The sequence below is a fragment of the Homo sapiens genome, chromosome 15 (assembly GCF_000001405.40).
Source record: "Homo sapiens chromosome 15, GRCh38.p14 Primary Assembly".
In the NCBI taxonomy this organism is placed as follows: domain Eukaryota; kingdom Metazoa; phylum Chordata; class Mammalia; order Primates; family Hominidae; genus Homo; species Homo sapiens.
In genome coordinates this window covers 54,389,142-54,404,046 of record NC_000015.10, presented here as the reverse complement: position 1 = coordinate 54,404,046, position 14,905 = coordinate 54,389,142, and the positions used below count along the sequence as shown (strand labels likewise).

Below are 14,905 nucleotides of genomic sequence, written 5' to 3'. Positions count from 1 at the left end.
ATTTAGTGCAATTAACTGCTATTATCATGAATGTAGTGAACAACTAAGCATAAATTTTATTAATCAGGACTCTACTAGTAAATTACAAGCCATCCTTACGAATTAATGCTGTGGTAGAAATTTTTCCTTTTGTACTTAGGTTCTCTTGTACCATAAAGCAAGTTGATCATAAGTGCCATTTGAAGCCAATCACCCTTTTTATCTTTTTGCTTTCTGTTTCAAGGCATTATTTTAATGAACTCAGATATTTAAGTATATACTTAATTTTAACATGAAAAACAAAACTGTGAATGGATCTATGTAAGCCTTTTTTTTTTTTTTTTTTTTTTTTGAGACAGGTTCTCACTCTGTTGCTCAGTCTATTGCTCAGAGTGTTGCCTTGGCTCACTGCAGCCTCTGCCTCCTGGGTTCAAGCAGATCCTTCCGCCTCAGCCTCCCTAATAGCTGGGACTACTGGCATGTGGCAAAATGCCTGGCTAATTTTTGTATTTTTTTGTAGAGACGGGGTCTCACTATGTACTGATCTCAAACTCCTGGCCTCAAGAAATCCTCCTGCCTCGGGTTCCCAAAGTGCTGGGATTACATGCGTGAACCACTGCTCCTGGCTTCCACTTTTTAAAAGTTTTTATTTATTTATGTCAGAGACAGGATCTTGCTCTGTCACCCAGGCTGAAGTGCAGTGGTCTGATCATAGCTCACTTCAGCCTTGAACTCCTAGGATCAAGAGACCCACCCGCCTCATCCTCCCAAGTAGCTAGGCATACCAGCATGAGCCCAGCTCTAAGTTAACTCTTGAAATCAGCATTGCATAAGACAATGAAAATACCTCCTGGCAGTATGACAAAGGAGTTGGAGATGGCCAGGGACAGCCTAAATAACGTGTGTGATGTGCATGGGGTAAATAGTCAACAGAATTTACTGAGTTTAGATAACTGTTTCTCGAACTGCAAGACCTGGTACAAGCAAGTCCTCATGTTCATATTGCAGGGCAGGGAGCTTAAGGCAGTAGAGCAGAGATGGAGATTACCATTGTGGAGCACCTACTCAATGCAGGCATTAGGCCAGGTGCTTTCTGTGCATTATCTCTACAAATCCTGATATGGTCTCATGAATTAAGTTTTGCCTCCTAATTTCTAAAACATAGAAAGCCTAAAAGATGTTGCAATCAGATCCAGATTAATCATTAAAATATCAGAAATATTTGGAAGGATTAATGCTCACCATCTTATTTATGGGATCCTTTTGTTAACATTAACCCTTTTGTTATTTCAAAGGGCTGCTTACATTTTGATTCTGCCTATTACTAGATAAGTCATTTTGCGTAAGTTAGTCCTCTCTATGCTTAAGTTTCATCATCTGCAGTTTGGGGATGATAATGGTACTGATATCATTAGAATAAATTTAGGATTAAACATTAAACTGTAAAAATGCTTAGAATAGTGCCTGTCTCCAGCTAATTCCCCATGGTTCCCTATATAATGATTATGATATTTATAACATATAAATATCTAGTTGTGTTAAAATCTTTCAGCAAGCATGACAAACCTTGAAAAATTCAAGATCAACTCTTTTTCACCTCTGTGATATGTGGTCAGGGAGGTAGAAAATTGAAATCTTCAGAGGTGTTTAAATTAGTATAATTATTGGTAAGCATTCTTTGGCAGTACCCTTATGCACTTAGAAAAGTATTTGAATTCTTTCCATATAATGTAATATTTTAGAAAACTGCAGAGTAACACACTTGATCTGTTTTAAAATTCAAAATGGCTATGATATATATGAGTAACAGTTTTTAAATTACTTTTGAAATTTTACTTTATATCTTTAGTGTTAGGTAGATTTTTACAACAGATCTGTGGGTTTTTTCGCTACCTATTCTGCCCACTATGAACTGCAGGTCTGCAAAACTGATTGCTTGTAGGAAATGAACCGTTCACCTAGATCCTAAGAATTCAAATTAAAGCATTTTTTTTTTTTTTTTTACATTTCAACAGCAAACAAACTGCAACTATATTGAAATACATGTGTCATTTCATATAATATTATATTGGGTTAGTTATGCTACTTTGGTTCCAAAAATCAGAGGCTCAAGTAACTACAAATAATTAAAAAGTAATTTTTGTAAGGATACTTTGGGTAATGGAGAAACAAGACTAAACTCCATTACCACATTGTACTGGAACCCAAGAAAAGCTGAACTCTGTCTACTGGAGTCAAACAGCCCCTGGAGTCAGGCTTCAGGGACCCTCAGACAAGACAGACAAGATGCTCCTTCCGGATTTAAGGCAGCGCTGAAGAGTGCGTTGAACGACCACAGATGGGGATCATCAGGCACAAAGTCCTCCAGTACGTGACTCTGCTATTCTTGTATCTGCTTTTCCTTCCAAGTATCCTTTCCCTCCACTCACTGTCAACTACCTTCTTCTCTCTCGACGCGATCTTCGTTCCTGTTTATACTTCATTCTGACTTAATTGTTGATCACCTGCTACAGGTATCTTCAAATTCATAAACTTTCAGTGTCTATTCTCCCTGTCAGCCGATTCACTCTTAGTATTTCTTGGTACAGTTCCAGAGAGTGAACCTAGTTTCTCTTATTGTGCAAAATTTTTCTCATAAGGCTGCGTCAACAAGGGTGTGTAGGAGGAGTTTAATCACAGAATGACTTGTGACTGTGGCAGGCACAGTAGTTAACCACTTTCAGACTCCTGATTAATTTCGTATATATCTCTTTTACAAATTAAATATTTGTGACTCTAGCCTTGCACGGTGACTGGCATATATTTATTAAGGGTTCAATACATATTTATTAAATTGAAATGAAACTGTTAATGAAAGATGATAAAAGTTCAATAGAGCAGAAAAGAAAAGAATGAGATAAAATACTTTAGGTTAAAAGAAATAATTAAATATTTACCTTATCTTTCCTATATTTATTACACATATGGGTAACCAAGTAAGTAAACCTAATTAATGAAAGAAAGTTCTTCTTTACAAAAAATTCTAATGAATAAATGTTGAAGAAATGGTAACCTTATAAAACCACCATTTTGCTGAGAATGATGGTTTCCAGCTTCATCCATGTCCCTACAAAGGACATGAACTCATCACTTTTTATGGCTGCATAGTATTCCATGCTGTATATGTGCCACATTTTCTTAACATTAGGAGACATACCGAATGTAAATGATGAGTTAATGGGTGCAGCACACCAACATGGCACATGTATACATATGTAAAAAACCTGCACGTTGTGCACATGTACCCTAGAACTTAAAGTATAATAAAAAAATATAAAAACCCACCGTTTTGTCATCCCTAATAAAATAGCGAATTCTGAAGTGATCATAAATAAATGAAACCATTATAGGAAAGGTTGATGAAGAAATTTTCAATGAAGAAATAAGACTGTCAGCACTAATCAAGGTTAACATCACTACAAGGGAATAACCAGATAATGTCCTACCTGATGTGACATAGTATGAAATACACACAGTCACTTATGAAGTGTTCTTAAAAAAATGAATCTGAAATGTTCAGCTATGGAGAGTAATGACTATGAAGGAACAAGTTAAATAGCACCACAAGGAAGCAAATGGAATAACCCAGAAAGTGGCATATTCTAAAGGATAATGAACATAGCTTCTTGCAGAAGTCAACGGTATAAATAAAATAAAAGGGAGGGGGGACTTAACTAGTATGAAAGAGACCTGTAACACATAATAACCATATGCAATGCTAACACCTTATTTGGATCCTGACTGAAACAAACCAATGTAAAAAAAATCTTCTTTAAAGAAAATCAGGAGCATTTGATTATGGAATAGGGATTACACAATACCAGGGCCTTACCGTTAATGTTATTAGTTGTGATGTACAAAAGAAAGCCATAATTTTTAGAGATAAATACTAAACTAAGAAGGGATGAAATGATAGAATGTCTCAAGTTTGTTTAAGATAACTCAGCCAAAAGAAAAAGAAGGTGAAAACTCAAGAATATAGATGAAGAAAACATCACAAAATTTTGATAATTGTTGAATTTGAATAATGGATATACAGGACTCTACTGCATAGTCTCTGTACTTTATAGTAGGATAAACACTTTCATAACAATTTCTTAAATATAAAAGTAATTTAGGGAAGCCATAGTGTAAGCAAACAAATCAAGAACTTTAATACTCTGAACATTATTTCCAAAACAGAAAGAACAAAGGACAAATCCCTGATCAAAGTCGCTTAAACCTAAACTTCCTCACTTCAGCAAATAAAACATCCTATCTTTAAAAACATGCAATTTGAAACTAATGTTCTGGCTCATCACATAACCCCGAGAGGGGAAAAATAGGCAGATTTTATCCTTGCAAATGGAAAAGACAACTTTTAAAACTGGTCCATTTTCTACTCAATACATTGAGATACTTTCTGCTATCTACACTTAATGCAGAGAGAAAATGAGTTGAGACTTCACTGTATGTATATTTTTGGAGAAAACTAAAAGAAATTACATGTTATAGTACAATGCATGCGAACAAATGAGATAACAGAATGGATGAAAGATATTTCTGCTTATGTTTTGGTCTGCATAACAAAAACAAAGTAATATGAAGTCATGACAGTTTAAGTAAAATGAGTAAAATTTTATGAATATTTAGAAATAATTAAGATTTCTTACTTTTAGGCACATATAGCAAAACTTCTCTACATTATGTATTTAATCGATATCAACCTAAAGGACTTTCTTATCTATGTATACAATTGTCTGTTGCATATAATGCTTGGAAGACCCACAGGTAACCAAATATCTGTATATCAAAATATAAGTCACTGTGAACTTCTTTAAATGGATACTTCCTCCTGTATTTCTTATCTCCAATAATGATGCCCCTATAAATATGACATTTCCATGGTCTCTACTTTCTTCCTTAACACTCCACTCAGTGCATTTAGTCATAAAGATCTTTTGATTTATTTCACAAATCTAACCTTAACTCTCCATCATCTTATACAAGGCTTTCATATCTTCTCACTGGATTACTGCTATAACCATTTAAGATTTATCTTCACTAACAGAAGAAAGACAATAGTAAAGGAATGAGAAAAAAATTAATTTAAAACAAAAAACAAAACATTGAATAAAATCAAAAGCTGTTTCTTAAGACCAGTAAAATTTATAAACGTTCAGACAGTTGGACAGAACAAAAGAGAGAAGACACAAAATATCAATATTAAGGATGAGAGAGGAAAAATCAGTTCAGATTTAATAGACATAAAAAAATAATAACAGACTGGCATAAACAACTACATGATGGAAAATTTCACCACTTAGATTAAATGGAAAATTTTCTTGAAGATACAAACTACAAAAACCTAAATTTAGGTTACCTATTTGAACAAATAGGTAAACTAAATAGCCCTATATCTAATGAAGAAATAACATTTTTAGTTTAAAAACCTCCTACAATAAAACTCTAAGCCCGGATGATTTTTCCAGTAAATTCTATCAAAAATTCAGAAAAGAAAATGTCAAATTTTATAAAAACTCTTTTGGCAAATTATACTGGAGGAAATACTGTCTAACTCTTTCTATAAAACCATCATTACATTGATATAAAAGACAGAAAAAGGCACTATAAGAAAATAAAACCATAGAGCAATATCCTCATAAACACAAAGGCAAAAATACTTAACAAAATTTTATCAATAAAATATAATATTATGTAGGAAAGATTATACATCAAGACCATGTGGAGATTGTTCCAGGAATGCAAGGTTGGTTTAAAGTTAAAAATTCCTTAGTTCAATTCACCATACTGATTGTTGAAAAGCAAAATTATGTGATTACCCTATTATGAGCAGAAAAGATATTTGACAAAATCCAACACCCTTTCATGATAAAAACTTTCGGAATAATAAGAACAGAACAGAACTTCCTCAACTTGATAAAGCATTATCCATGAAAAACAGTTAGTTAACATGATATTCAATGGTAAAAATCTCTATGCTTTCCCTATGAGATTAGGAATAAGGCAAGAATGTCTGCTCTTCACTAATTTTAGTCAACATTGTACTGAAGATTTTAACCAGAGCAATAAGGCAAGAAAAATAATAAAATACATCTAAATTGGAAAGAAATAAGTAAAACCATATTTATTTTAGACAAGAATATAATTTATTTAAATAATCATGAGGAACCTACAAAAAAGTAAATTTAGAAAGGCTGAAGATATATATTTGTATATCTATGTACTATTAACAAAGAATGAGAAATTAGAATTAAAAGTACCATTTAAGATAGTAATAAAAATACTTAGAAACCAATTAACAAAGAATATGTAACACCTTTTCACCAAAATAAGAAATTAAATAAGACCTTAATGCATGTACATGCCATGTTAATGGATTATAAAATTCAATATTGCTGTTTTCTTTCCTCCCCAATAGATTTATATATTTAATGCAATATCAATCAAAAGTCCAGCAGACCTTTTTCTTGTAGAAATTGACAAACTGATACAAATTTAAATGGAATTGCAAAGGAGCTAGAAGAGCCAAACTATTTTCAAAAATATAAACAAAGTTGAGTAAATTTTACTATAATATTTCAAAATATGTTAGAAAATGATAGTGACCAAGACATGCAGTACTGGTGTAATTACGGCTATATAGATCAGTGGAACAGATTACAAAGAACTTCAGAATTAACCTCTTACATATACAGTCAATTGAGTTTTCTCCAAGATGCCAAAGCAATTCAATGAGGAAAGAATAATTTTCAACAAGTAGAGATAAAAAAATAGATAACCATATGAAAACGATCCAAAGAAAGTTAAACTTGATTATCACACCAGTTAACAAGCAAAAATTGGCTTGAAATGAATTATAGACTTAAATGTAAGATGTCTAGAAGAAAATTGTGTTGCAAGCTGACTGTGCAGATTGCAAAGATTTCTAAAATAGAATTTTTTTAAAAGCTTAAACTATAAAAGAAACTGATCAATAAATTGGACTATTCCATCAAAATTTTTTTAAAAATGCGCAATAACTATGCTCTTCAGAAGGCACTAGTAAGATAATGGAAAAGAAAGTTACAAGCTAGAAGCATATACTGCAACATTTATTTCTGATGACAGACTTTTATCTAGTATAGACCTTTACAACTTAACAATAATAAGATAAACATCCTAATTTGGAAATGGGAAAATGATTTGAACAGAAATTTCACCAAAGAAGATATATGAATTTCAAATATTCAGATAAAAATATGGTCAGTATCATTAGGATTCAGGAAAGTGCAAATTAAAATCATAGTTAGATAATATATGCCTGTTAGGATAGGTAAAACTAAAAGATTTATCAAACCAAGTGTTGGCATGGTACAGCCACTTTGGAAAGCAGTTTGGCAGTTTTAATATTAAGTACATACTTACCACGTAACTCAATAGAAATAAAAGAGTATGTCTATACAAAGACTTGTAAACAAATATTCATAGCAACCTAATCTTGAAAAAGTACAAATTTTAACAGATGAATGAATAAACATATTGTGGTATATACGTACAATGGAATACTACTCAAAAATAAAAAGAAACATACAATAACATGGGTGAAACTCAAAATAGTTGTAATGAATAAATAACATGGGTGAAACTCAAAATAGTTGTAATGAATAAAAGCAGCCAGACAAAAGAATGGAGAGAATTTATGATTACATTTACACATAATGATAACATTTCCAAACTAATTCATAGTATTAGAAAGCAGATGAGGGGCATTGCCTGGGGATGGTGGAGGAGTGGATGAATTACAAAAGTGGATGAATTATTGGGGTAATGGATATCTTCATTATTTTGAAAATAGCAATAATTTTGTGGCTAAATACATATGCCAGAACTATTCAAATTAGACTATTTAAATATGTGAAATTTTATTATATTCAATTATACCTCAATAAACCTGTTAGAAAGACAGAGAAAGAAAAAGAGACAGAAACCTGGACCTAAATCTGAAAGTACTCTGCTTAATACTATTTAGTTTTAATGAAATATTGAAATTTCTAAAACATCTAAAATTCATTATAAATAATTTTAAAAATTGAGAAAATATTACTCAAATAAACACTGTAGTTCATTAATAAATCAACATGGGAATAGACAGAACAAACACTGACTACATGTATAAATTTACTTTAATTTATTAATTCATTCAACAAATATGTATGCCTGAATATACATTAGTCAACAAAATACAAGTCTTTTCCCTCATGCTTATAGTCTACCGTCACTGTAAACTTGTTATCAAATTTGAGTAAGCAAAAGCCTACAATGATTTCTCAAACTCATGATAACAATAAGAACTTCACTAAATGATCTGAATCAATAATCAGGGATTACATTGAAAGAGATTTTAAAATGTCCTATGTTTTAAAATCATTAAATTCACTTGCCTTTGCCTCTAAAACAAAACCCAAGCTACTTTTAGCATGTCCTTCACATATTGATCTGTGCCTTCATTGTTAGTGACCATAAGACACAATAACAGGGATCGTTTATTAATATTGCAGACTTCTGTGTCAATTGCAGGTTTTCTGACTCCACAGATTTGGGATGGGGCTCAGATCTGCAAATCCAGCTAGTAGCCCATGTGATCCTTACCCTAGTGGTCTGGATTTTTTACTTTGTGAAATTCTGCATTAGTTTAGGTAACCAAGGAGATGATTAATTAAGCATAAATGTGACGATGCAGTATTCAAACAAAGTAACAGATATAAATGAAATCTCACCACATTATACAAATGCAACATTGGCCACCAGGATGCCATCTTGGTCTCCAGATGAGTTCACTTAAGGCATTTATTAAATTAAATGAGAAACTAAATTGAACGATCTTCAGTATGTGAAAAAAAGTTTTACAGCATCCTTAAAATCTGACCAAACACAATAATAAAAAATGGATTCCAAATAGAGGAAGGCATTTGGTTTTTTCAGGGACAGGTTTCCAAAGGAAAAAAGTGGACTTAAACTCTGACATTAAAAACAAAATTGAAAAAAACAAAAACAATTTTCTCTTTTGCACATGTCATTGCTAATTTTTATACTTGGTAGGCTTAATTTAGTTCATAATTTTAAATCTATTTTTGCCATAAATAAACGTATTTATTCCAGTTTCTTTACTACAGTTACATAAAGTCAACTAAAATCTTTGTATATATTTTGTGGCACATGATTACAAATAAATCATGGATACTTTAATTTCTTCCATGATTTTATAATGTATTTTTACTGATCAAATCCTGATTTAAGATACTTGGTAAACATAAGAAATTTCTTTGATTATTAAAGCCAAAGTTTCTTCATAGAACTGAATTTGTGTTTCTCAGTAGATGTTTGTTTTCATCCAGTATCCATTTGTAAAATGGCCTATCCCAGTCCAAGGACACAGTCTTGAAACAAGTTGTCGGTCTCCCAATCTTTCAGAAAACTACTCTGTCCTCAAGAAAGGTCCAAAGAGTAAATAAGAAAACACAACTCTATTCTACAAAGCTGTCAGAGACCTGAGATGTACTTCCCAGGACCCATGATGCGATGACGACATGTTATAGATTAAGAGAAGATCTTCTAGTCCTAACAGAAGAGAATAGAAGAGCAAAGTCTGTACAGAGATTAGGAAACACAAAGGCCATCAGGAAGAAAAGGCAGATATAAGAATTAGGTGTGGGGGAAAAGGGAGAAGAAAGTGAAAGGGCAAACTTGATATTATCATGATTGTATACCAAAAATAGGACCACTCTCTCCACAATTAGGAGGAATTGGGGGACTGTTGAAAATGGGTGGTTAATAGTAAGTAGAAAAGGATGAAGACTGAAATACTTAAATGTATTTCTTCTTTAACTGGAATTTTAATTGGACTGAACATAAACAATGACCCTAACGGTCTTGACCAGTATAGAGGATAAGAATACAGTCATTTATCCATAGTAAGTCTGAGTCTACTTCACTGTTCTACTTCATTGTTTGTCTATTTCTGCTATCTTTGCTACCCATAACATTTCAGGTCTAACTAATATTGTCAAGACAATCCTCTTCATTAACCAGACTGCAAGTGCCTAGCTGGAAGTCTGATGTTATTTTTGCTTTTATGGTCTTTAATATGTGGGTGTAAAATAAAATCTAAATATGCAATATTAAAGTTGGATTGGATCTTGGAAATCATCTAATAATAACACCTTTATTTTAGTTGGGAGGAAATTGAGACCCAGGGAAATTAGATAATTTGCCTAAGGTCACACAGCTAGTTGTATTTTGATAAAATGAGGATTTTTACGGTCTCTTCTAGAATAGTCATGAATTTTAATTCATCTGCCATGTCTTAGAGGCATGAACTTTAGATTATACTTTGTGAAAATCAACTTGTTTTATTAAATATGTTATTAAATTTGTTAAATCAATATGCACATCTATTTTGAAAGCAGGTTTTTTGCCAAATCTTTATTATTAAAAAGCCACAATGCAATATGTTTAACACTAGCTCTTCAAAATTATTTTTAGTTTTGGGGGAGTGTACATTTTTTTCTTTTGAGACAATGGTATAGCTATGAAAGGATGTGGAGGAAAAGTTTTACATTACATAAACATCAAATCTTGGAAAATATTTTTCTCCATATCCAAAGAATCATACTCCATGGAGCTCAAACTAAAAATTCATAATATCATTTAATTGATATTTACTGATAAAAGTTGAAAAATACTATTTTCTATAGCTTAATTATGGAAAAGTTTATTATTGTCGTCAGTATATGTTGCGCTTAAAATATGTATTATTTGAACTTTAGTGGAATAAAATCCATTCATTTCCAAAACATTGTACTTACTGATTCAGGACAGGTGTGTAGGCAGTTTTATCCTCATCAATAATAGTAACCATCAGTGTAATAAGTTGGGGCCAAAAATCCAAATTCTTGGTGGTTGGTCCCTGATCTTCACGAGGAATATCCTGTTTCTTACTCTGCTCACAAGTTCACGCAACATGCAAAAGAAAAGGTTAAATGGGATGACTTTAGTTAGATGTCACTGTCAAATAGAAGATCAAAGAAAAATGATTGTGGAAATGAAACTTAGATTATGGGAGTCAAAGCTGTTAAACTCAGGTTTCTTTTCTTCATTGAATGACATCCCATAGAATAAACTCACAGTGGCCTGGCTTGTATTTCTAATCACTTTTTAAATATTGGTTTAACTTCCATTGCTTTGTTGCTGTTGTTGTTGTTCTGGATTAGAGGTTTTTCCTGCCTCTGATGATTACAAGTTCATGACCTTAAGAATTATTATTATTAGAAATTATGCCTTTAATGTGGCTTCTTCCAAGGATGAAGATTGAATTTTGTGTGTACAAAGGTGTGTGTTTGTGTGTGCGTGTGTGTATGCATAAAATTTATCTTGCCTAAATATTTTGCTCAAAGTTACATCAGCAGTAAGTATGCAGAACTGACAGCTGCCTGTCAGTACTGTTACTCAAACTCAGTACTGTTAAATCCCACACTATATATGCAACATTAATTGACTTAAATTCTCCCTTCTTACGCACAAATTTATCTAGGTAACTAAAATTTTGTAAGTTTGTCTTTTTCTCTTTTTTTCCTTTTTTTAAAATGTCTTTGAAACTTTCTCAATTTACCACACTGCTCAAAGTCTTCAACTCTCAGTCTAGAAAGCAGAATGTGACATAGGATGATCTAGATTTACTTTGAGGTTAACAGAGTACAATATCAATCTTGAATGTTTCACATATAAATTTCATACTCAACATATGCAATTCTTTACAACATAGAGATAAGCTATTCTGGTCATTTATTTTGGTGGGTGTTCCTCTTAGAGCACTTCTTTTACATTTACTTGTTAAAATTGGCTAAAAATATAGGCAGAGATACATTTTCGCTTAAGTATATGAAAAGTTTTGCTAAACCCTTTACAAGCTTATAGGTGCAGGATATTTGAAAACATCAACTTATGGCTCCAGAAACTCAAAGACTCTAATGTAAAATGGGTATTAGATTGTATTTGGCCCAAACTATTGCCATATCCAATTGCCATGTCTTCTGCTGTGACCAGATCAGCCACCCTCTCGGCTGAATGGTTGTATATGCATATGTTCCAGTGCAAATCATGATATGTAACCATATTTTGTTGAGTTGTCATTTAATTATTCTCGTGTAACTTGAAAGACAGTCCTATAGTGAACTCACTTAGTACTAGACACCTCTATTCTTAGACTATAATGTACTTTTAAGAGCATATATTTCCCTAGGATACATCCAAGAGCCTTTGATTTACATTTATGTTTGAAATGCAACAGATGTTAAAACTTGCAGAACTAGATTAAAATGGTAAAAAAAAATTAGTGGCTGACACAAAATACTTCAAATATCCAGAATAAATGATAAGCAATCTCCAAAGGATTTTAAGAAGTATGTATATATGATCCCCGAGAACAACTTGAAAGTTCTTGGCAAGCTTCTTCTTTCAATTCCTGGGTTATATTAGTGAATCTTTAGGAAGTAATGGACAGTAATGCAGGCTTACAAATGTCAAGCTTTGCTGCCTTTTAAGTTAGAAATTTTATTAAAATTTATTTTTATTTTGTAAACAGAATTTTGTTATCACTACTATAATGTAATTATTTGTGCATTATATTAAGCTCAATAGATTTCTAAAGGATTTAGAAATCCAGATAACCTGGTGAGTTGTGAAGGTGATAAATAAAACTACTTCTAATAGCCACAGTGGGGAGATATTTGTATTAGAACACTATCATTAATTATCGTCATATGTACATAGCCAAAATATATGTCTTACATATTTTAAGTAATGTGATTAAATGAAAGAAAATTATTACACATGATATGTGTAACATCACAGCCACTTATCATTTTTGCAAAGAGTGACATGGAAAGGAGGAGAGACAGAAGTAGTTGAAATATGCATTCATTCCCAAGTCCCTTACCTGTCGCAAATTGTACTTCCATCACTCTTTTTTATGACACCAGAAGATTACTGATGATGCTATTTTTCACATCATATAACGTTTGTTGCATTAGAATAAATCAAACTGGATGTTGAATCATTAAGTTTTTATATAGCACACAATACTATCATAAACCAGGCTTTCCCTACTTTAATAGCGTATTGTAATAGACTGCATGCTGAAAGGATGAGGTCTCATCTGGTGTATTATAATATTTACTCAATTTCTTAAGAATTAAGTTTCTCTATGTGAAACTTTTTAATATACCCTAGAAATCTAATAGGGCATTTAACCTTATGATTGGAAAAATTAAGGTTATTGTAGTAGAAATTAAGAAAAGCTTATAATAAGTATATTCATATTGACTGAAACATTACTATGAATAATGTTATGAAATAACATTTGTTATATCAAGAAAATATGGTAATTATAAATCATTTAATAGCAAATAAAAATACATTTATTAAAATATGACCCAGTAAATCAATCATAATTATAGTAATTATTATAATAGTGACTAAAATTATTTTGTTAATAGATTATTGAAGAAACAGACTTTACAGAAAATCTGTAAGGGTATAATGGGGAGGTAATTTTTTGAAAGTGGAAAGTTGCCAGGTTATAGGATTATCTGAAGAAAGTTCCAATGGTCATGTTTACAAAGTCATTTCATTACAGAAAAGCATATAGAGAAAAGTTTTTACAGACAAGCTGATGGGATGTATATTACACTTTCATGATATCACATAAGAAAATATAAGTATATTCCATCAAGAAGAGATCAGTATATAGAAAGAGCCATTACATGCAAAAGACAGTATTGAAATAACAAATGATATCTTCAACTTAGTGGAACTTATACAATACTTTTAAAACTGTTATAAAATATTTCTGTGGCATTCAATGTATTCATTCAATAAACATGTAATTGTGAAACGCTGCTTCTAAGGAGCTGACAAGACTTGGGTTGGGAGGAGACCTCTGGTAGAAAAATGCAAAGACGGGCCGGGCGCAGTGGCTCATGCCTGTAATCCCAGCACTTTGGGAGGCTGAGGTAGGTGGATTACCTGAAGTCAGGAGTTGGAGAGCAGCCTAGCCAACATAGTGAAACTCCATCTCTACTAAAAATGCAGAAACTAGCTGGGCATGGTGGCACATGCCTGTAGTCCCGGCTACTTGGGAGGCTGAGGCAGGAGAATTGCTCGAACCTGAGAGGTGGCGGTTGCAGTGAGCCAAGATTGTGCCACTGCACTCCAGCCTGGACAACAGATCGAGATTCCATCACAGAAAAAAAAAAAAGAAAAATGCAAAGACAGGCTGTGTACACACAAAACCACATGACAGATGCCTACTATATTTGAATAATTATGAGTAAAATGGGCTATAACAGCTTTTGATGAAGTGTGCTTCTCCAACGTTTGTTCTACTCTATGTTAGTATCATGTACTTACACACACAAGGGCTCAACTAACTTCAAAATTTTTGCTTAAACAAAGTTAAATACGTTATTTTCAGATTTCCTGAAGCCTTTAATATGCTAATGTGCATGGTGATTCTCTAAGATTGTGGTTCTCCAACTTTAGTGTATATCAGCCCCACTGGGAAAGCTCACAAACACAGACAGGTTGCTAGGTCCTGGGACCCATGGTTCCTGATTCAGTAGGTCTAGGGTAAAGCTTGAAAATGTGTATTGAGAGTGACCTTTCAAATAATGCTGGTGCTTCTGCTCCAGAAACCAATTTGAGAACCACTTCTCTAAGAGGTAATACTAAAGCATTAGTTTCTTAAATGGATTTGAACTTGCTAAAGCCCTCCATTCCCTTCCTGTTCCCCCATCTCATCGTGCCAGACTTTTCACAGGATAAGTGTTCTTCTGAACATACTTTGGGA

At 32.6% G+C, this 14,905-nt stretch overlaps 1 protein-coding gene across 7 annotated transcripts in view; it reads right to left on the bottom strand.

The window, feature by feature from the left end:
• UNC13C (unc-13 homolog C) overlaps nt 1-14,905 on the bottom strand; it is a 795,839-nt gene that overhangs the window by 229,394 nt on the left and 551,540 nt on the right. For all 7 annotated transcript variants that reach the window (XM_047432538.1, XM_017022220.2, XM_017022221.2 and 4 more), the window contains one exon: nt 10,866-10,999. In XM_047432538.1, the coding sequence (XP_047288494.1) occupies nt 10,866-10,999 (134 nt within the window). The remainder of the gene's footprint in view (nt 1-10,865; nt 11,000-14,905) is intronic.